At 45.7% G+C, this 20956-nt stretch overlaps 1 protein-coding gene across 18 annotated transcripts in view, besides 2 other annotated features; it reads right to left on the reverse strand.

Moving 5' to 3' along the window:
* GTF2IRD2 (GTF2I repeat domain containing 2) overlaps positions 1-6615 on the reverse strand; it is a 55455-nt gene extending 48840 nt beyond the window's left edge. For 16 of the 18 annotated variants that reach the window (NR_170884.1, NR_170883.1, NR_170886.1 and 13 more), the window contains exon 1: positions 6377-6615. Coding sequence is in view for 1 of the 18 variants with exons in the window: in NM_001368300.2 (NP_001355229.1) it covers positions 4122-4602 (481 nt within the window). In the remaining 17 variants the exon portion in view is untranslated. Of the gene's footprint in view, positions 1-4121; positions 5301-6376 lie in introns of all 18 variants that reach the window. The other 2 variants (NR_170885.1, NM_001368300.2) reach the window with 1 other exon arrangement.
* Positions 1-20956: part of a biological region, named in NCBI's record as "Williams-Beuren syndrome medial block B recombination region", that runs on past both edges of the window. NCBI's record gives its function as "recombination_partner: LOC106029311 | LOC106029313".
* Positions 1-20956: part of a non allelic homologous recombination region, noted in NCBI's record as "sub-region SSN11-SSN13, recombines with sub-region SSN11'-SSN13' within the WBS telomeric block B recombination region", that runs on past both edges of the window. NCBI's record gives the evidence for it as "EXISTENCE:restriction fragment detection evidence [ECO:0001124][PMID:12796854]".

The following is a 20956-nucleotide window of genomic DNA, read 5'->3' on the forward strand; positions in this document are numbered from 1 at the left end:
CCTGTGAATTCTGACATATATAAAGTTACATAGGTAAAATTAAGGTATAAAACAGTTCTGTCATCCCCAGAATATTATACCACAATAATCCCTAAACAAGCTCTGATGTCAAAAGTCTGCTTTTTTACAAAAAAGAAAATAAAAATAAAAACACAAACAAAAATAGAAATAAAAAAATTGAAAAAACCGAAGAATAAAATAATAGGCAGGATGATACCACGTGGAATTCAAAAAAAGATACTATCAGTTGGCGTCAACTATGCTACCAGTAATCATTTAAAAAACAAGTGTTTCATAATAATTATTATCATTTTTTTGAGGCAGGGTCTCACTCCGTCACCCAGGCTGGAATGCAGTGGTGCAATCACAGCTCACTGCAGCCTCTGCCTCCCTGGGCTCGGATGATCTTCCCACCTCAGCCTCCTGAGTAGCTGGAATACCAGGCATGCGCCACCATGTTCAGCTAATTTTTGTATTTTTTGTAGAGAGGGGGTTTCGCCATGTTGCCCAGGCTGGTCTCGAACTCCTGGGCTTAAGTGATCTGCCTGCCTCATCCTCCCAAAGTGCTGGGATTACAGGTGTGAGCCACCGCGCTGGGCTGAGTGTCTCATAATTATTGTGCTTTCTTTGCATTTTGTACATAACAACAAATGGAGGCAGGAATGTTGTCTTTTATATTTTATGATTTGGAACACAGCATGCATTAATAGAAAATTGAAAATAATGAAACATGACTATAAGCCAACACTGTGTTTCCTGTCCCAAGTACATTTTCCTGAGAAAATTTCACTGCACTCTAATAAAGCTCAAAAATCCTTCACCATAAGAACTTGTACCACAGAATAAAATCTCCCAAAGCCGATATAGTTATTAACCCTTTTTTTACTCACATCTGAAGTGCCAGCACCATTTACTGAGATCACAGATTTTTACATAGTACTTAACTTTTTACTCTTTTATTTTGAGATGGAGTCTTGCTCTGTGGCTCAGGCTGGAGCGCAGTGGTGCAATCTCAGCTCACTGCAAACTCTGCCTCCCGAGTAGTTGAAATTACAGGTGCGTGCCACCACATCTGGCTAATTTTTGTATTTTTAGTAGAGACTGGGTTTCACCATGTTGGCCAGGCTGGTCTCGAACTCCTGACCTAAGGTGATCCGCCCCGCTCAGCCTCCCAAAGTGCTGGGATTACAGGCATGAGCCACCGTGCCTGGCCCTTTTTGCTCTTTTAAAACTGTAGATGTAAACTCCAAAAACTTCCAAATCTCATTTTGTCTTCCCAGCAATGCTGGAGGCGTTTCTGTCCTTCTAGTGTAATATTTTACTAACGAAAAGCAAATACCTAGAACAATCTCCAGCCTACAGGTCAAATCCAGACCGCAGCCTAGTTTTGTAAATTAAGCTTTGTCAGAACACAGTCACATTCACTTGTTGACATCTTGTCTACAGCTGCTTTCCTGCAAAGGAAGGTTTGCATGCATGTGACAAAGACCCCATGTTCCCAAAGCCAAAAATATTTACTATCCTTACAAACAAAGTTTGCCCATCACTGATCTAGAATCTGTATCTATCCCTTACAACCTTTCATCATTTGGAATGTCATCCACTTCCTTTATGAAAACTCTGAAATCTTGAAATAGAGGACTGGTTTATTTTTAAAAACTGTTTCTAGATTTTCCCTTCCAAAGATTAATTTTTCAGGTTTTAAAGGGCTTAGTTTTTTTGTTTTGGTTTGGTTTTGAGACAGAGTCTGCTCTGTCCTCCAGATTGAAGTGCAGTGGTATCATCACAGCTTACCATGCGCCTGGCTAATTTTGACTTTTTTTTTTTTTTTTTTTTTTTGTAGAGACAAAGTTTCACTATGTTGCCCAGGCTGATCTTGAACTCCTAGGCTCAAGCGATTCTCCTGCCTCAGTCTCTCAAAATACTGGAATTATAGGAATGAGACACTGTGCCCAGACCTGGGACTTGTTTTCTGTTTTGTTTTGCTTTTTTTCTTTTGAGATAGGGTCTTGCTCTATCACCCAGACTGGAGTGTAGTGGCATGATCATAGCTCCCTGCAGCCTGGGACTCCCAAGCTTAAGTGATCCTCCCACCTTAGCCTCCCAAGTAGCTGGGAGCACAGGCGCACACCACTGTACCCAGCTAATTTTTTGTTGTTGTTTTTTGTTTGTTTTGTAGAGACAGAGTTTTGCCATGTTGCCCAGGCCAGTCTTGAACTCCTAGACTCAAGCAATCCTCCCACCTCAGCCTCCCAAAGTGCTGGGATTATAGGCGTGAGCCACCACACTGAGCCGCAGGGCTTGGTTTTAATTAATAAATTCTACCTTCTTCACAGCTCAGCCTACAAGTACAAACACAAGAGTACATGTTTCACCATTCAACAAAAATGTAATGAGCACCTGCAATGTAAAAATGTATACTAGTAGCCAGGCGAGGTGGCTCACACCTGTAATCCCAGCACTCTGGGAGGCTGAGGCAGGTGGATCACCTGAGGTCAGGAGTTCCATATCAGCCTGGCCAACATGGTGAAACCCTGTCTCTACTAAAAATCCAAAAAAAAAGGACAGGCGTGGTGGTGGGTGCCTGTAATCCCAGCTACTCGGGAGGCTGAGGCGGGGAGAATTGCTTGAACCCGGGAGGCGGAGGTTGCAGTGAGCCAAGATCATGCCATTGCACTCCAGCCTGGGCAACAAGAACGAAACTCCATCTCAAAAAAAAAAAAAAAAATTAGCTGGGCATGGTGGCACGCACCTGTAATCCCAACTACTCAGGAGGCTGAGGCAGGAGAATCTCTTGAACTCAGGAGGCGGAGGTTGCAGCAGGACGTGATTGTGCCACTGCACTTCAGCCTAGGTGACAGAGCAAGACTCTGTATCCTTCCCCCCAAAAAAAAACGTATACTGATGGCAAGGAGTGGAGGGGAATCACAAGCAATACAGTAAAAGGAGCCAGACACCCATGAAATGGCCTCAGGGCATGTAGGAACGCAGATGAATCCACTGGGAGGACAAGAGAAATGAAGGGCCAGGATTCTCCCCCTTATCTTCAGCAGACTCATTCCAAGACCCTCAGCGGATGCCTGGAACTGCAGATAGTGCCAAACCCTAAATCTATTATGTTCTTTTTCTTTTTTGAGATGGAGTCTCGCTCTGTCGCCCAGGCTGGAGTGCAGTGACGCGATCTTGGCTCACTGCAACCTCCGCCTCCCAGGTTCAAGTGATTTTCCTGCCTCAGCCTCCCAAGTAGCTGGGGGTTACAGGTGTGCACTACCATGTCTGGCTAATTTTTGTATTTTTAGTAGAGACAGGGTTTCGCCATGTTGGCCAGTCCGGGCAACATAGTGGGACCAGCCTGGCAACATAATGGGACTTCACCTCTACAAAAAAATTAAAAATTAGCCAGGTGTGGGGGTGTATGCCTGTGGTCCCAGCTACTCAGGAGGCTGAGATGGGAGGATTGCTTGAGCCCAGGAGGTCAAGGCTGCAGTGAGCTGTGATCCCACCATTTCAACAGGGCGAGGCCCTGGGTAGGACTCTGTCTCAAGAGAAAAACAAAGAAGGCCTGCCGGGCGTGGTGACTCATGCCTGTAATCACAGCACTTTGGGAGGCTGAGGTGGGTGAATCAACTGACGTCAAGATTTCGAGACCAGCCTGGCCAACATGGTGAAACCCCGTCTCTACTAAAAACGTAAAAATTAGCCGGGCGTGGTGGTACACGCCTGTCATCCCAGCTACTCTGCAGGCTGAGGCAGAAGCATGGCTTGAATCCGGGAGATGGAGCTTACAGTGAGCCGAGATCGCAACACTGCACTCCAGCCTGGGCGACAGGGCGAGACTGTCTTAAAAAAAAAATAAAGGCAAAGGTGACAGGTATGGAATTTTCAACTTGCATCAGGTCAGCGGCATTCAATAAGTTTTGGATTTTGGAACGGTTCAAATTTTGGATTTTTGGATTAGAGATGTTCAACCTGTACATACATACCTACGATGAATTTTAATTTATAAATTAGGCACAGTAAGAAATTAACAACAACAATAATAAAATAGAATATCAAGTACTGTAATGTTATGTGAATGTGATCTCTCTCTCTCTCAGTATAACTTGTTGTAACGTACTTACCCTTCTTCTTCTTCTTGTAATGATGTGAGAATCTATGCCTGAATCTGTGTAACCATCCCTTACTCGCAGTAAATGGCTTGGTGTCAGTTTCAGAGCATCCCTTGCAGAAGTCTTGGTATAGGCTCAAAGCTTTCTGGCGCAACATGTTGCTGTCAATGGGAACACGTTTTCTGTTCATCTCTTCCACCCACAAATGCAGTGCCTGTTCCATCTTAACTAAGCACTTATCACGCACTGTGGCCGTCACTTTAGCAGTTGGAGGTGAGACAGCAAAACTAGCACGAATTTCTTTTTCCTTCTTCACAATTTCACGGATGGAAGATTCATTCTTCCCGTAGATCTTAGCAACCTCAGCATAGGATTTTTTGTCTTTCCTGATTAAGTCGAGAACTTTCACCTTTTCACTTAGAGGAAGCACTTTACGGCTTCTCTTTGGCCTATCCAAATTCCCAGCATCACTACTCTTGTGCTTTGGGGCCATTATGACGGAAAATAAGGGTGACTTGAACACATACACTGGGACACTGTGACGGTCGATCTGATAACCGAGCCAGCTACTAAGTGACTATGGGTGTGGAGCGTCCACAGCGTGGGGACGCTGAACAAAGGGGACGATTCACTGCCCAGGCTGCACAGCGCGAGATTTCATCACAGCGTGCAATTTAAAACTTACGAATTGTTTATTTCCGGAATTTTCCATGTAGTATTTTCAGACCACGGTTGACCTCAGGTAACTGAAACAGCGGGTAAGGGGGGACAACTGTACTTCCAGGTTCTGCAGCCTGAGAATGAGAGAAGGGACTGTGCAGGCTGAAGGCGTGGGGGAAGAGCCAGGGCCCTGGGGAGCAGACGTCAGGGACTAAACTGGAAGGCAAGCAGGAAGAACCGTGACCCACTCCAAACCGCCACTGAAGATTGATCCCAACTGCAAGCCGGTGCCAAGCCCCGCGTCCACGGAAGTCACACAGCCTATGACGCCTTCCTCTCCAAATGGAAGCAAAGAGGAGAAGAGGCTGCTGGAGTCTTCAATTGCAGCCGTGAGCAATCTCCAACTGGCCAGTTTCCAAGCTTATATCTAGACATCTGCTTACTTCAAATTACCAGCACGAAACTAAAACATGATTTTTTTTTCCTTAAAACACAAAGCTTGGCCCATCAATTCCAGTCCTTGGTATACACCTATGAGAATTGAAAACAAATGTCCGCACAAAAACGTGTACACCAATGTTCATAGCAGTATTATTCATAACAGCCAAAAGGTGGAAATTACCCAAATAGCCATCAATGGATGGAAAATCAAAATGCTGTGTATTCATATCATGGATTTTTATTCAGCCATAAAGAAGGAAAGAAGCCAGACACACAAAAAACTTCTTGGGATGATTCTATCCACACAAAATGTCCAGAATAGGCAAATCCACGGAGACAAAAGTGATTGCCAGGGGCTGGGGATAGGGACGGGGTGGGGACCGGGGAATGACGGCCTAATGGGGTTGGAGTTTCTTCTCCTCGGGTGCTGAAAGCGTTCTGCAATTAGTGGCAAAGGTTGCACAGCTCTGTGCACTGAATTATTCACTCTTAAAACGTGAATTTTACAATGGATCTCAACGAAGCTGTTATTAAGAAACAAGAAAGCTTGGGCTTGAGGGATGGAGAATACAGCCTTGCGAGCCTTTTTCCCCCTAGAACTCGAAACCAGAATTGCAACGGGAAATTCCCGGGCCTCGGCCTTTTTCCTTGGGAGTCTGGATTGGTTTTCCGCCAACAAACAGATCCCCGGAGGCCGTCGCGAGGACCATACCCACGGACAAAACCCACAACCTGGGCCTCTAGGCAACGCGTGACGTCAGGGGGCGGATCCGGGGCGCAGTTGCCTGGTAACAGCGGCGGCCCCCGCCCCCTTATCTAACCAATCAAGCGCGTCTGCACGCAGCGCGAGCGCCCCACGTACGACGGGCGGAGCGTGGCATCACGCACATCCCCGCTCGGCCAATCAGGAAGGAGAGGGATGTGCGCTCCGTGCGTACGACCATTGCCCCCGCGGCAAGGCTTCCCCGCCCCCACCCTCACACCTCTGGTCCTGCCAGCAGGGATCGGGGTTCGGGGGTGCCTCGCCTCGGGGCGCCGGGGTGTCCCGGGGGGCCACCTCCCGCTGCGGCCGGGCGGCCTCCCTTCCCCAGGCCCTCAGGAGGAGGACGTTCCGAAAGGCAACCCGCCCTTAATGGCGGCGTCGGCGGCGGGGGCGGGGTACGCACCTGAGGGCGCTGGGCCGCGCCGGGCCGGCCGCGGAGTCCGAGGCCTGGGCCACCGGGGAGCAGCCGATGGCCGAGGGCGGCGGCCGAGAGCCCCGCGCGGGGGACGAGCACGCTTCGGGGCGTGTGGGTGGCGGCCGAAGCCCCTGCTCGCCACTCGCCCTCCTTTTTCTCTTTCTTTCTTTCCCCCCCTTTTCCCCCCTTTTTTTGTTTGCTTCCTGGAAGGCAGCCTCGACTCGTGTGTCCGCAGCGCCCCAAGTGGGAGTCGCCGTTTCCGGTGCTGTCGAATCCAATTTAGCCGCGCTGTGCATTTGCTTGGGGGCGTGCAGCCCCGTCCCGCGAGGTCCAGACCCCCTCAGCCATCGCTGATTGTGGGATGGATTGCTGGCGGGGCCTTTCTCACCCCGGACACCGCCCCCAGACGTGCATGCAGTTGCTTGCTGTTATTTAATTTTTTTTTTTTGAGACGGAGTTTGGCTCTTGTTGTCGAGGCTGGAGTGCAATGGCGCGATCTTGGCTCACTGCAACCTCAGCCTCCCAGGTTCAAGCGATTCTCCTGCCTCAGCCTCCGGAGTAGCTGGGACTACAGGCGCCCGCCACCATGCCTGGCTAATTTTTTGTTTTTTTTTTTTAGTAGAGATGGGGTTTCACCGTGTTGGCCAGGATGGTCTCGATCTCCTGACCTCGTGATCCGCCCGCCTCGGCCTCCCAAAGTGCTGGGATTACAGGTGTGAGCCACCGCGGCCGGCCAGGTTACATTTTCATATGGTTATGACTCCCAAATATTCATCTCCAGCCCAGACCATTCCCCTAAACTCCACATCTATATAGCCAACTGCCTGCTTTGAAATCTCCACTTGTACAGCGACTTAAGAAAAAAAATTTTTATCTTGGAGAATGAATAGGCATCCCAAGAAGAACATGTCTCACGCTCCCCACACTTCTCCTGCAGTCTTCTCCAGCTCAATGAATGAAACTCCATTCCTCCACTTACTCAAGCCAGAAGCCTTGGAAGCATCTTATTCCTCCCACGCTCCACACCATTCCTTCAGATTCCTCCGGCAGCTCTAACTTTGCCCAGATTCTACCACTTTCACTCTCTCTCTCTTTTTTTTTTTTTTTTTTTTTTTTTTTTTGCTATGTGTGTTGAGGGGAGATGGACTTGCTCTGTCACCCAGGTTGGAGTGCAGTGGTACAGTCATAGCTCACTGCAGCCTCAACCTCCTGCACTCAAGCAAGCCTCCCACGTCAGCCTCCCGAGTAGGTGGGATCACAGGCGCACATCACCTCACCCGGCAAATTTTAAAAATTATTTGGCCAGGCGCAGTGGCTCACGCTTGTAATCCCAGCACTTTGAGAGGCCAAGGTGGGCAGATCACAAGGTCAGGAGTTCAAGACCAGCTTGGCCAACATGATGAAACCCCATCTCTACTAAAAATACAAAAATTAGCTGGGCGTGGTGGCGGACTCCTGTAATCCCAGCTACTTGGGAGCCTGAGACAGGAGAATCTCTGGAACCTGGGAGGCGAAGGTTGCAGTGAGCCGAGATCACGCCACTGCACTCCAGCCTGGGCGATAGAGCGAGACTCCATCTCAAAAAAAAAAAAAAAAATTATTTGTAGAGGCTGGGTGCGGTGGCTCACGCCTATATTCCTAGAACTTTGGGAGGCCAAGGCGGTCGGATTGCCTGAGCTAAGGAGTTCGAGACCAGCCTGGGCAACACGGTGAAACCCCGTCTCTACTAAAATACAAAAGAAATTAGTGGTGGCACGCGCCTGTATTCCCAGGTACTTGGGAGGCTAAGGCAGGAGAATTGCTTGAACCCAGGAGGCGGAGGTTGCAGTGAGCCGATATCGCACCACTGTACTCCAGCCTGCGCGACAGAGCAAGACTCTCTCCAAAAAAAAAAAAAAAAAAAAATTATTTGTAGAGACAAGGTCTCCCTGTGTTGCCCAGGCTGGTCTCAAATTGCTGTTCTCAAGGGATCCTCCTGCCTCCTTCCTCAGCCTCCCAAACTGTTGGGATACAGGCACGAGCCGAGCCTGGCCTCTACCAATTTCTAATGGCCCCCACTACTACCAAGCCAACACTGTCTCTTGCTGTAGACTCCTAATTTGTCTCCCTAATTCTGCCCTTAACCCTCTTCCATTCTTAACACAGCAACAAAAAGAATCTTGTAAAGTGTAACTCATTTCACTCTTCTCAAAAATGTCCATTTCAGAGTAAAGGTCCTAATTTACGCTTCTGTCCACGACGAAGTGACAAAGACCAGATATACCCTCCCAGCTGCAACAATAAACAAAAAAATGCATGAAACAATGTTTTTTTCAAGACACTAGACATCAGGTGACAAAAGATAGTGTTCGAGAGATGGTAAACGTGAGGTGAGCCCTGCAATTGCTTAGCTTACAGACTTGAGAGTTTATCAGGTCATCACACAGGGAAGGAGAACTAAGACAAGAGACCAGCTGACTTCCTTGGTTGTAACAGAGCTAAGTCCAGAAAGAACAAGGTAACTGCAGCTTATAAGGAAGGGTACCAGAGAGAGAGTTTTGCACAGAGAGAGAACCCCGGAGATCTGCAGAGGAACCCCTGGAGTATGTAGCAGAGTACATCAGCATACACGTGTGACATAATCACTTGCTTCTAGGGAAAGAACCATCTGAATGCATTGGAATAGTGCTTGACACTCAGACAGGGCCAAGAACAATGCCTGTTCAGAATTCACAGGTCATTGGGTAGAGGACTAAGCAAGGTCTTGCCTCATTAGAGGGGAAAATTAGCCTTAGATTGCACACTGCCTAATACCCACCTAACAGGGCATAACAGCAAGACTTGAATGCATCAAATGGTTCCCAAGTAGCTTTTTTTTTTTTTATTTTTTTGAGATGGAATCTCACTCTGTCTCCCGGGCTGGAGTGCAGTGGCACAATCTCGGCTCACTGCAACCATTGTTTCCCAGGTTCAAATGATTCTCCTGCCTCAGCCTCCCTAGTAGCTGGGATTACAGGTGTGCACCACCATACCCAGCTAATTTTTTTTTTGGAGACAGAGTCTTACACTGTTGCCTGGGCTGGAGTGCAGTGGCTCAATCTCAGCTCACTGCAACCTCCGCCTCCTGGGTTCACGCGATTCTCCTGCCTCAGCCTCCCTAGTAGCTGGGATTACAGGCTCACACCACCACACCCGGCTAATTTTTTGTATTTTTAGTAGAGACGGGGTTTCACTATGTTGGCCAGACTGGTCTCGAACTCCTGACCTCATGATCTGCCCGCCTTAGCCTCCCAAAGCCAGCTAACTTTTTTGTATTTTTAGTAGAGACGAGGTTTCACCATGTTGGCCAGGCTGGTCTCAAACTCCTGACCTCAAATGATCCTTCTGCCTTGGCCTCCCAAAGTGCTGGGATTACAGGCGTGAGCCACTGTGCTCGGCGTGGTTTCCAAGTAACTTAACTGTATTCCAGAACACAGCTCAAGAAGAGTTCTGGTAATACAAATATATCCAGCTTCAAGAAAGGTAAAATTCACAGTGTATGGTGTCCAAGCAAGGATTACTGACATACAAAGAAACAGGAACATGTGACCGGTAATGAGGAGAGTAAACAATGTAAATCAACCCAGAACTCACCCAGATATTAGTATTAGCAGAAAAGGACATTAAAACAGTTATTATAACTATTTCAAATGCTCAGACGTTAACTAGAGATGTGGGAAATATTAAGAAGACCCAAATTGAACTTCTTTTTTTTTTTTTTGAGATGGAGTCTCGCTCTGTCACCCAGGCTGGAGTGTAGTGGCGTGATCTCCGCTCACTGCAAGCTCTGCCTCCTGGGTTCACGCCATTCTCCTGCCTCAGCCTCCCGAGTAGTTGGGACTACAGGTGCCCGCCACCATGCCCGGTTAATTTTTTTGTATTTTTTAGTAGAGACAGGGTTTCACCATGTTAGCCAGGATGGTCTCGATCTCCTGACCTCATGATCCACCTGCCTCGGCCTCCCAAAGTATTGGGATTACAGGTGTGAGCCACCCGCGCCCGGCCTCCAAATTGAACTTCTATAGATAAAACCTACATGAGGTTTTTTTTTTGCAACAGAGTCTCGCTCTGTTGCCCAGGGTGGAGTGCAGTGATGCAGTCTCGGCTCACTGCATCCTCTGTCTCCCAGGCTCAAGTGATTCTCCTGCCTCAGCCTCCCAAGTAGCTGGGATTACAGGTCACACCACCACGCCCAACTAATTTTTGTATTTTTAGTAGAGATGGGATGTCACCATGTTGGCTAGACTGGTTTCGAACTCCTGACCTCAAGTGATCCTCCCACCTCAGCCTCCCAAAGTGTTGGAATTAATAGGCGTGAGCCACTGCACCCAGCCTACAATGAGATTTTTTTCTAAAAAGTACACTGGATGGGATTAATGACAAATTAGACATTGCAGAAGAAAAGGTTAGTGAATTTGAAGGCACAGCAATAGTAACTACCACAACGAGAAAAACACACAGAGAAAAAAGAATTAGAAAAAGAAACATTAATGAGCTTTGGGACAACTTCAAGTAATCTAATATACAAATAATTGAAATCTGTAAAGGAGAGGAAAGACAATCGTCCGAACAAATAAAAACTATAAACCAGGCCGGGTGCAGTGACTCACGCCTGTAATCCCAGCACCTTGGGGGGCCGAGGCAGGCAGATCACTTGAGATCAGGAGTTGGAGACGAGCCTGGCCAACATGGTGAAACCCCATCTCTACTAAAAATACAAAAAATAAACCAGGCATGGTGGCGTGCGCCTATAGTGCCAGCTACTTGGGAGACTGAGGTGGGAGAATCGCTTTGAAACCCAGGAGGTGGAGGTTGCAATGAGCCAAGATCACGCCACTGTACTCCAGCCTGGGGAACAGAGTGAGACCCTGTCTCAAAAAAAAAAGAAGAAAAGAAAAGACATTAATAACAGAAAGATGCTTGACAAATCCCCAAATATTTGGAGACCAAATAACACACTTCTAAATAAGCTATGGAATAAAGGAGAAATGAAAAGGGATATTAGTCTTTTGAACTAAATGAAAATAAAAACACACACCCACATCAGAATTGGTGAGATGCCGCACAGAACACCTATATTAGGAAAAAGAAAATGCCTTGAATTAATAAATTCAACTACTTAAGAAACAAGAAAATTAAGAGAAAATTAAATACAAATTAAGCAGAAGAGAGGAGAAGGACTAATAAGGGTAAAATCTGAAATCAATGAAACAGAAAACAGAAAAACAATAGAGAAAATCAGTGAGCCCAAAGCTGCTTTTGTGGGATGGTGTATGAAATTGACAAACTTCTAGCTAGACTGGACAGAAAAAAAATGAAGACACAACTTAACAATATTAGGAATTAAAGAGATGAAATCAATACAGATTTTACAGACATTAAAAGGATAATAAGGGAAAACTATAAGCAAGATTATGGCACTAAATTCAACAACTTAGATGAAACGGACATATTTCTTGAAAGACACCAATTACCAAAGCTCACTCAAGAAGAAAAGGATAACTTGAATAGCCCTATAACTATTAAAGACATTGAAATTATAGTTTAAAACCTTTCTACAGGTCAGGCGCGGTGGTTCACGCCTGTAATCCCAGCACTTTTGGGAGGCCAAGCTGGGCAGATCACTTGAGGCCAGGAGTTTGAGGCCAAACTGGCCAATGTGGTGAGACCCCCATCTCTACAAAACACAAAAACAAAAATTAGCCGGGCATCATGGCAGCTGCCTGTAATCCCAGCTACTCAGGAGGCTGAGGCACAAGAATTGCTTGAACCCAAAAGGCGGAGGTTGCAGTTAGCCAAGATCATGCCACTGCACTTCAGCCTGGGCGAAAGAGCGAGACTCTGTCTCATAAAAAAATGTGTATGGAATCTCAAGGGATGATGAATAGCCAAAATAATTTCTAAAAGGAAAAACAAAATTGGATGATTCACAGTTCCTGATTTCAAAACTTATTACAAAGTTACTGTAATCAAAACAGTTTGGTACTGGCATAAAGACAGACATATGGAATAGAATAGAAATCCCAGATATAAACCCTCACACATATGGTCAGATGATTTTTGACAAGGGTACCAAGACCATTCGACAGGGAAAGGACAGTCTTTTCAATAAATGGTGCTGGGAAAACTGGATAGCCATATGCAAAAAAATGAAGTGGCATCCTTACCTTACCTTGCATGATATACAAAAATTAATCAAACTGAATGAAAGAGCTAAATGTATTAGCCAAAATTACAAAATTCTTTTTTTCCTCTTTCTTTCTTTCTTTTTTTTTTTTTGAGACAAAGTATTGTTCTGTCACCCAGGCTGGAATACAGTGGCACCATCATGGCTCACTGCAGCCTCAATTTCCCAGGTTCAAGTAATCCTTCCACCTCAGCCTCCTGAGTAGCTGAGACTATAGATGTGTGCCACCATGCCCAGCTAACTTTTGTTTTTGTTTTTTGTAGAGATGGCATCTCACCATGTTGCCCACATTGGTCTTGAACTCCTGGGCTCAAGTGATCTGCCCACCTTGGCCTCCCAAAGTGCTGGAATTACAAGCTTGAGCCACTGTGCCCAGACTATAAAACTCTTAAAAGCAAATGGGAGAAAATTTTATGACATTAGATTTGGTATAGGTATATTGAACTTCATTAAAATGGAAAATTTTTAGGCATCAAAGGACACCATCAACAGAGTCCCACAGGATGTGAGAAAATACCTGCCAATTATATATCTGATAAGGGATTAATATCTAGTATATATAAAGAACTCCTATAACTCAACAACAATAGCAGAAACAACAATACCCCACAAGACCCAATTCTAAAATGGGAAAAGGGGCTGGGCACGGTGGCTCATGCCTGTAATCCCAACACTTTGGGAGGACAAGGCAGGAGGGTCACCTGAGGTCAGGAATTCAAGGCCAGCCTGGCCAACATGGTGAAACCCCGTCTCTACTAAAAATACAAAAATTAGCCTGGTGTGGTGGCTCACATCTGTAATCCCAGCTACTCGGGAGGCTGAGGCTGGAGAATCGCTTGAACCCAGGAGGCGGAAGTTGGAAGTTGCAGCGAGCTGAAATTGCACCACTGCATTCCAGCCTGGATGACAGAGCGAGATTCCGTCTCAAATAAAATAAAATAAAATAGGCAAAGGGCCAGGCATGGTGGTTCACTCCTGTAATCCCCACACTTTGGGAAGCTGAGGTGAGCAGACCACTTGAGCCCAGGAGTTTGAGGCAGGTGAATCGCCTGAGCTCAGGAATTCGAGACCAGCCTGGGCAACATGGCAAAATCCTGTTTCTATTTAAAAATACAAAATTAGCCTAGCATGGGGGTGCGTGCCTGTAGTCCCAGCTACTCAGGAGGCTGAGGTGGGAGGATGGCCGGGAGTGGTGGCAGGAGACCGGGAGGCAGAAGTTGCAGTGAGCTGAAATTAAAAAAAAAAAAAGGAATGAAGTTCTGCTACATCTTACAACATGAAAGGGCCTTGACAGCATTATGCCACATGAAATAATACAGACACAAAAGGACAAATGTTGCTTTGGGAGGCTGAGATGGGAGGATTGCTTGAGGCCAGGAGTTTGAGATCAGTGTGGGCAACATAGCGAGATAACATCTTTACTCCCCTCAAAATTTATGTATTTGTTTATTTATTTACATATATATCTCTATCTATCTATCTAGCTATCTTTTTTTTTTTTTTTTTGAGGCAGAATCTCACTCTGTCACCCAGGCTAGAGTGCAGTGGCGCGATCTCAGCTCACTGCAAGCTCTGCCTCCTGGGTTCACACCATTCTCCTGCCTCAGCCTCCCGAGTAGTTGGGACTACAGGCGCCCACCACCACGCCCGGCTAATTTTTTGTATTTTTAGTAGAGATGGGGTTTCACCGTGTTAGCCAGAGTGGTCTCGATCTCCTGACCTTGTGATCTGCCTGCCTTGGCCTCCCAAAGTGCTGGGATTACAGGCATGAGCCACTGCGCCCGGCCCCTATTTATTTATATTTTTGAGATGGAGTTTCGCTTTTATTACCCAGGCTGGAGTGCAATAACATGATTTCAGCTCACTGAGGCCTCCACTTCCCAGGTTCAAGCAATTCTCCTGCCTCAGCCTCCCGAGTAGCTGGGATTACAGGCACCCGCCACCATGCCTGGATAATTGTTTGTATTTTTAGTAGACGTGGGGTTTCACCATGTCAGCCAGGCTAGTCTCAAACTCCTGACCTCAGGTGATCTGCTCTCCTTGGCCTCCCAAAGTGCTGGGATTACAGATGTGAGCCACTGTGCCCAGTCAAAAAAATTTAGTTTTAAAGTTAACTGGGTGTAGTGGTGTGTGCCTATAGTCCTAGCTACTTGAGAGGCTGAGGTGGGAGGATCCCTTGAGACCAGGAATTTGAGACTGCAGTGAGCTATGATCGTGCCACTGTACTGCCTGAGCAACAGAGCAAGACCCTGCCTCTTAAAAAAAAAAAGAAAAAAAGTGTTATTTTACTTATATGAAAGAATAGGCAAATTCATAGAGACAAAAAGTAGATTAGAGGTTACCAAAAGCTGGGTAGAAGAGGAGAAAGGGAATTGTTGCTCAATGAATACAGAGTTTCTATTAGGAGTAAAGTTTTAGCTTGGTTTTTTTCCCCAACTGGTCTCGAACTCCTGGGCTCGAGAGATCCACTCACCTCAGCCTCCCAAAGTGCTGAGATTACAGGTGTGAGCCACTGCACCTGGCCACCACTACTGTTTTCAATGAGAGCAAATGGATTAAAAACCACAAGAAAATATTTGCTTTATAACTATTGTTTTCTTTTCTTTTCTTTTTTTCTGAGATGGAGTCTCACTCTGTCCTGCTCAGGCTGGAGGGCAGTGGCGTGAACTCGGCTCACTGCAGCCTTTGCATCCTGGGTTCAAGCCATTCTCCTGTCTCAGTCTCCTGAGTAGCTGGGACCACAGGCATGTGCCACCACACTCAGATAGTTCTATATTTTCAGTAGAGACAGGGTTTCACCATGTTGGCCAGGCTGGTCTCAAACTCCTGACCTCAGGTGATCCACCTGCCTTGGCCTTCCAAAGTGCTGGGATTACAGGCGTTAGCCACCATGCCCAGCCACCGCTACTGTTCTTAATGAGAGCAAATGGATTAAAAATGAAAATAAAATATTTGCTTTAAAACTGTTGTTTCCTATAAACATTTAAAATAAAAATGCTTTTAAAAGAAAAAATAAAACATTTATTTAATCTTTATCTTATTTAAAATATTCCTTTGTATATTTTATAAAGTATATATTAGTATAATAGTATATGTAAATAATTTATATGTATTTTTTCATGCTCACAAATTTTACTCATAAGAATCAATTTGGCCAGGCACAGTGGTTCACGCCTGTAATCCTAACACTTTGGGAGGCTGAGGTAGGCGGATCACAAGGTCAGGAGTTCAAGACCAGCCTGGCCAACATAGTGAAACCCTGTCTCCACTACAAATACAAAAAATTAGCTGGGTGTGGTGGCAGGTGCCTGTAATCCCAGCTACTTGGGAGGTTGAGGCAGGAGAATTGCTTGAACCCAGGAGGCAGAGGTGGCAGTGAGCGGAGATCGCACCACTGCACTCCAGCCTGGGTGACAGAGTGAGACGCCATCTCAAGAAAAAAAAAATCAATTTAAGCTCCTTTTTTTTTTTTTTTTTTTTTTGAGACAGGGTCTCATTCTGTTGCTCAGGCTGGAGTGCAGTGGCACAATCTTGGCTCACTGCAACCTCCACATCCTGGGCTCAAGCGATCCTCCCACCTCAGCCTTCCGAGTAGCTGGGATTATAGGCTAATTTTTGTATTTTTCTGTAGAGACAGGATTTTGCTATGCTGCCCAGGCTAGCCTCAAACTCCAGGGTTCAAGGTATCCACCTGCCTTGGCCTCCCAAAGTGCTGGGATTACAAGTGTGAGCCACCACGCCTGGCCAGGAATGTGTAATCAAAATAATTTGGAGACCACTGGCCTAAAAAATAGGCAGATTATGTTCTCAGGAAATGGAAGTAATTTATCTACAAGCAGAGAGTTGAATCCACTGAAGTAGATGACTGAAGCCAATCGTAACATGAGTAGTACCATGTTACGTTTCTTTTTTCTTTTCTTTTTTTTTTTTTTTTTTTTTGAGTCAGAGTCTCTCTCTGTCACCCAGGCTGTAGTGCAGTGGTGCAATCTTGGCTCATGCAATCTCCTCCTTCCGGGTTCAAGTGATTCTCCTGCCTCAGCCTGCCGAGTGGCTGTGATTACAGGTGCGCCCCACCACGCCTGGCTAATTTTTTTGTATTTTTAGTAGAAACAGGGTTTCACCATGTTGGCCAGGCTGGTCTCGAACTCCTGATCTCAAGTTGTCCACCCACCTCGGCCTCCCAAAGTGCTGGGATTACAGGCAGAGCCACCACGCTGGGCCAGTAGATACCACATTTCTGAACAGGAAGACTGAAGATTGTAAAATGAGATATCTCCTAGTTAATTTATCGCAACGAGCCTGGGAATTTAATGTAATTTCAACCAAAATCCTAGTGGGATTTTTAATGTAGCTTGTCAAGATGATTTTAAAATTTATATGAAAGTAAATGTTATGAATCGCAAAGGCATTTTTGTAAAAGAATAGACAAGAACAAAGAAGACATTTGACTAAATAAAAACCAGAACATATTATAAAGTTGCAGCCATTGAAACCTCGTCACATTAATATAAGAATAAAGCAGTAGAAATAAATAGTTTCCATAAAATTGACCTATGTATTTTTGGAAATTAACCATATGTTATAAATGGCATCTTGAATCTTCAGATAAAGCCCTTACTAGCCAATAAATTATTTTGGACAATCAGACATGCCTTTGGAAAAAATATTAATAAGTATGCTGCCTGGCATCATGCCATTCATAAAAGTCAACTCTAAACCTGAATATAGCCGGGTGCAGTGGCTCACGCCTGTAATCCCAGCACTTTGGGAAGCCGACGCGGGCAGATCACAAGGTCAGGAGTTCGAGACCAGCCTGGCCAACATGGTGAAACCCCTTCTCTACTAAAACTACAAAAATTAGCTGGGTGTGGTGGTGGGCGCCTGTAGTTCCAGCTACTCGGGAGGCTAAGGCATGAGAATCACTTGAACCCAGGCGTCGGAGGTTGCAGTGAGCCAAGATCGCGCCATTGTGCTCTAGCCTGGGTGACAAAGCGAGACTCTGTCTCAAAATAAACAAACAAATGAAACCCTGAATATAAAAAATGAAAGTAGGTCAGCCACAGTGGCTCAGGCCTGTACACTTTGGGTGGCCAAGATGGGAGGATTGCTTGAGCCCAGGAGTTTGAGACCAGACTGAACAACATGACAAAACCCTGTCTCTACAAAAAATACAAAAATTATCTTTATACCTTGGGTAATAGACATTCTTCGTTAACATGATACAGAAAACCAAAACGCTAATGAATAGGATTAATAACGCTGACTACATCAAGATAAAATTTTCTATGACAAGAGACACCATGAATTAAGTAAAAGGGGCTGGGCGTAGTGGCTTACATCTGTAATCCCAGCACTTTGGGAGGCCAAGGTGGGCAGATCACTTGAGGTCAGGAGTTCAAGACCAGCCTGGCCAACATGGTGAAACCCCATCTCTACTAAAAATACCAAAAAAATTAGCCAGGTGTGGTGGCAGGCGCCTGTGAACCCAGCTACTTGGAAGGCTGAAGCAGGAGAATCACTTGAACCTGGAAGGCGGAGGTTGCAGTGAGCCGAGGTTGAGCCACTGCACTCTAGTCCGGGCAACAGAGTGAGACTCCATCTCAAAAAAAAAAAAAAATTAAGAAAAAAGACAAGAGGCCAGGTGCAGTGGCTCATGCCTGTGGTCCCAGCACTTTGGGAGGTCAAGGTGGGCGGATCACCTGGGATCAGGAGTTCAAGACCAGCCTCAACATGGAGAAACCCCGTCTCTACTGAAAATACAAAAAAAAAAAAAATTAGCTAGGCGTGGTGGTGCATACCTGTGGTCCCAGCTACTCGGGAGGCTGAGGCAGGAGAATTGCTTCAATCTGGGAGGTGGAGGTTGCAGTGGGCCAAGATCGTGCCATTGCACTCCAGCCTGGACAACAAGAGCAAAACTCAGTCTCAAAAAAAAAAAAAAAAAGACAAGAGAAAATATTTAGACAGGTAACGAAGGGTTTTATGCAAATATATCAAGTACTCCTACAAAGTAATAAGAGACAAACAATCCAGTATGGGTGCGGTGGTGGCTCACGCCTGTAATCCCAGCACTTTGGGAGGCTGAGACGGGCGGATCACCTGAGGTCAGGAGTTCGAGACCAGCCTGGCCAACATGGTGAAACCCCGTCTCTGCTAAAAATACTAAAATTAGCCAGGCATGGTGGTGCACGCCTGCAGTCTCAGGTACTTGGGAGACTGGGACATGAGAATCACTTGAACCCATCAGGCAGAGGTTGTGGTGAGCCGAGATCGGACCACTGCACTTCAGCCTGGGCGCTGGGCCACAGAGTGAGACTCTGTCTCAAAAAAAAAAAAAAAGAGACAACCCAATAGAAACGTCACCAAGGATATGAGTAGATTTGCAATTCTCAGTAGAGGAGACGTGAAACTGTAAGATGTTCAACTCTTCCAGAGATTACAGAAATATAAAGTAAATAAAAAATGAGATATGTTTCAAGTAGCAGATTGGCAAACATTTAAAAAACGTGGGCGGGGCACAGTGGCTTATGCCTATAATCCCAGCACTTGGGGAAGCTGAGGCAGGAGGATTGCTTGAGCCCAGGAGCTGGAGTCCAGCCTGAGCAACATAGAGAGACCCCCGTCTCTGCAAAAAATTTTAGAAATGTCCAGGTGTGGTGAGGTGTGCCTGTAGTCCTAGCTACTTGGGAGGCTGAGGTAGGAGTATCACGAGAGCTGGCAAGATTGAATCTGCAGAGGCTGCAGTGAGCTACGATGGCACCACTGTACTCCAGCCTGGTTGATAGAGTGAGACCTTGTCTGGGAAAAAAAAAACCAAGTCGTGTAGCAGGGGGATACGTAAAAGCAAATCCCACTCATAATATTGAAGCACAACTTATGAAAAACAAATGGAAAACATCTATTAACATTTTAAAAATTATTTTTATTTTTTGGTCATCTCTTAGAATATGTATATTAACATGTTTATTTATTATTATTTTTTAAAATTTTTTATTTATTTTACTTTATTTTTTGAGATGGGAGTCTTGCTATGTTGCCCAAGCTGGTCTTGAACTCCTAGGCTCAAGCAATCCTCCTGCCTGGGCTTCCCAAGTAGCTACTGGCACACACCATCACACTCGGCTGATTTTTAAAAAAATTTTTTAGGGACAGAGTTTCACTATTGCCCAGGTTGGTTTCAAACTCCTGGCCTCAAGCAATCCTCCGGCCTTGACCTCCCAAAGTGTTGGGATTACAGATGTGAGCCATGACACCTGGCCAAAATAATGTTTTTTATATGGCAAGATGTATATGTGAGACTGTGGTTAAAGGAGCCTTTAGCCATACCCATATATAATATTTTTAAATTTATTATTATTATTTTTTGAGACGGAGTCTTGCTCTGTCACCCAGGCTGGAGTGCAGTGGCACAATCTTGGCTCACTGCAACCTCCACCTCCCAGGTTCAAGTGACTCTCCTGCCTCAGCCTCCCAAGTAGCTGAGATTATAGGCGCCCACCGCCACGCCCAGCTAATTATTGTATTTTTATTAGAGACTGGGTTTCACCATGTTGGCCAGGCGGGTCTCGAACTCCTGATGTAGGGTGATCTGCCCGCCTCAGCCTCCCAGAGTGTTGGGATTACAGACATAAGCCACTGCTCCCGGCCGATTTATTATTATTTTTTAACAAGGAACTGCATGATACATTAATTGTATAATTAAAGTTAATAATAATACAAATAAAAACATGTAAGTTTAGTCTGGGCACCGTGGCTCATGCCTGTTATCCCAGCACTTTGGGAGGCCAAGGCGGGTAGATCACTTGAGGTCAAGAGTTCAAGACTACCCTGGCCAACACGGTGAAACCCCCGACTCTACTAAAAATACAAAAATTAGCCGGTCGTGGTGGCAGGTCACTGTAATCCTAGCTACTTGGGAGGCTGAGGCAGGAGAATTGCTTGAATCCGGGAGGAGGAAGTTGCAGTAAGCCAAGATCCTGCCACCGCACTCCAGCCTGGCAACAGAGTGAGACTCTGTCTCAAAAACAGACAAACAAACAAATGTAAGGTTAGTTAAGTTCACTCTTTCCCAGACTAGAGAATTTCAGCTACATCAAACGTCAAAATAATTAGAATGTGTACAGGAAAATGTCATCATAGGTGGCAAAGAAATTAGCTTGGCTAACGTTAGCAGACATTTGGATACTCTGAGATAGCTGATAGTTTGACAGTAGTACCATCTTTTCCAAGCAAAAATTTGGACAGAAATGTAAGTATTTTCTAGCATAGAACCAGTCTACAAAACCAGCCAAGTTTTTTTCATGTTTGTTTGTTTGTTTGTTTGTTTTTGAGCCAGAGTCTCTCTCTGTCGCCCAGGCTGGAGAGCA

This window comes from Homo sapiens, chromosome 7, assembly GCF_000001405.40.
Source record: "Homo sapiens chromosome 7, GRCh38.p14 Primary Assembly".
NCBI lineage: Eukaryota > Metazoa > Chordata > Mammalia > Primates > Hominidae > Homo > Homo sapiens.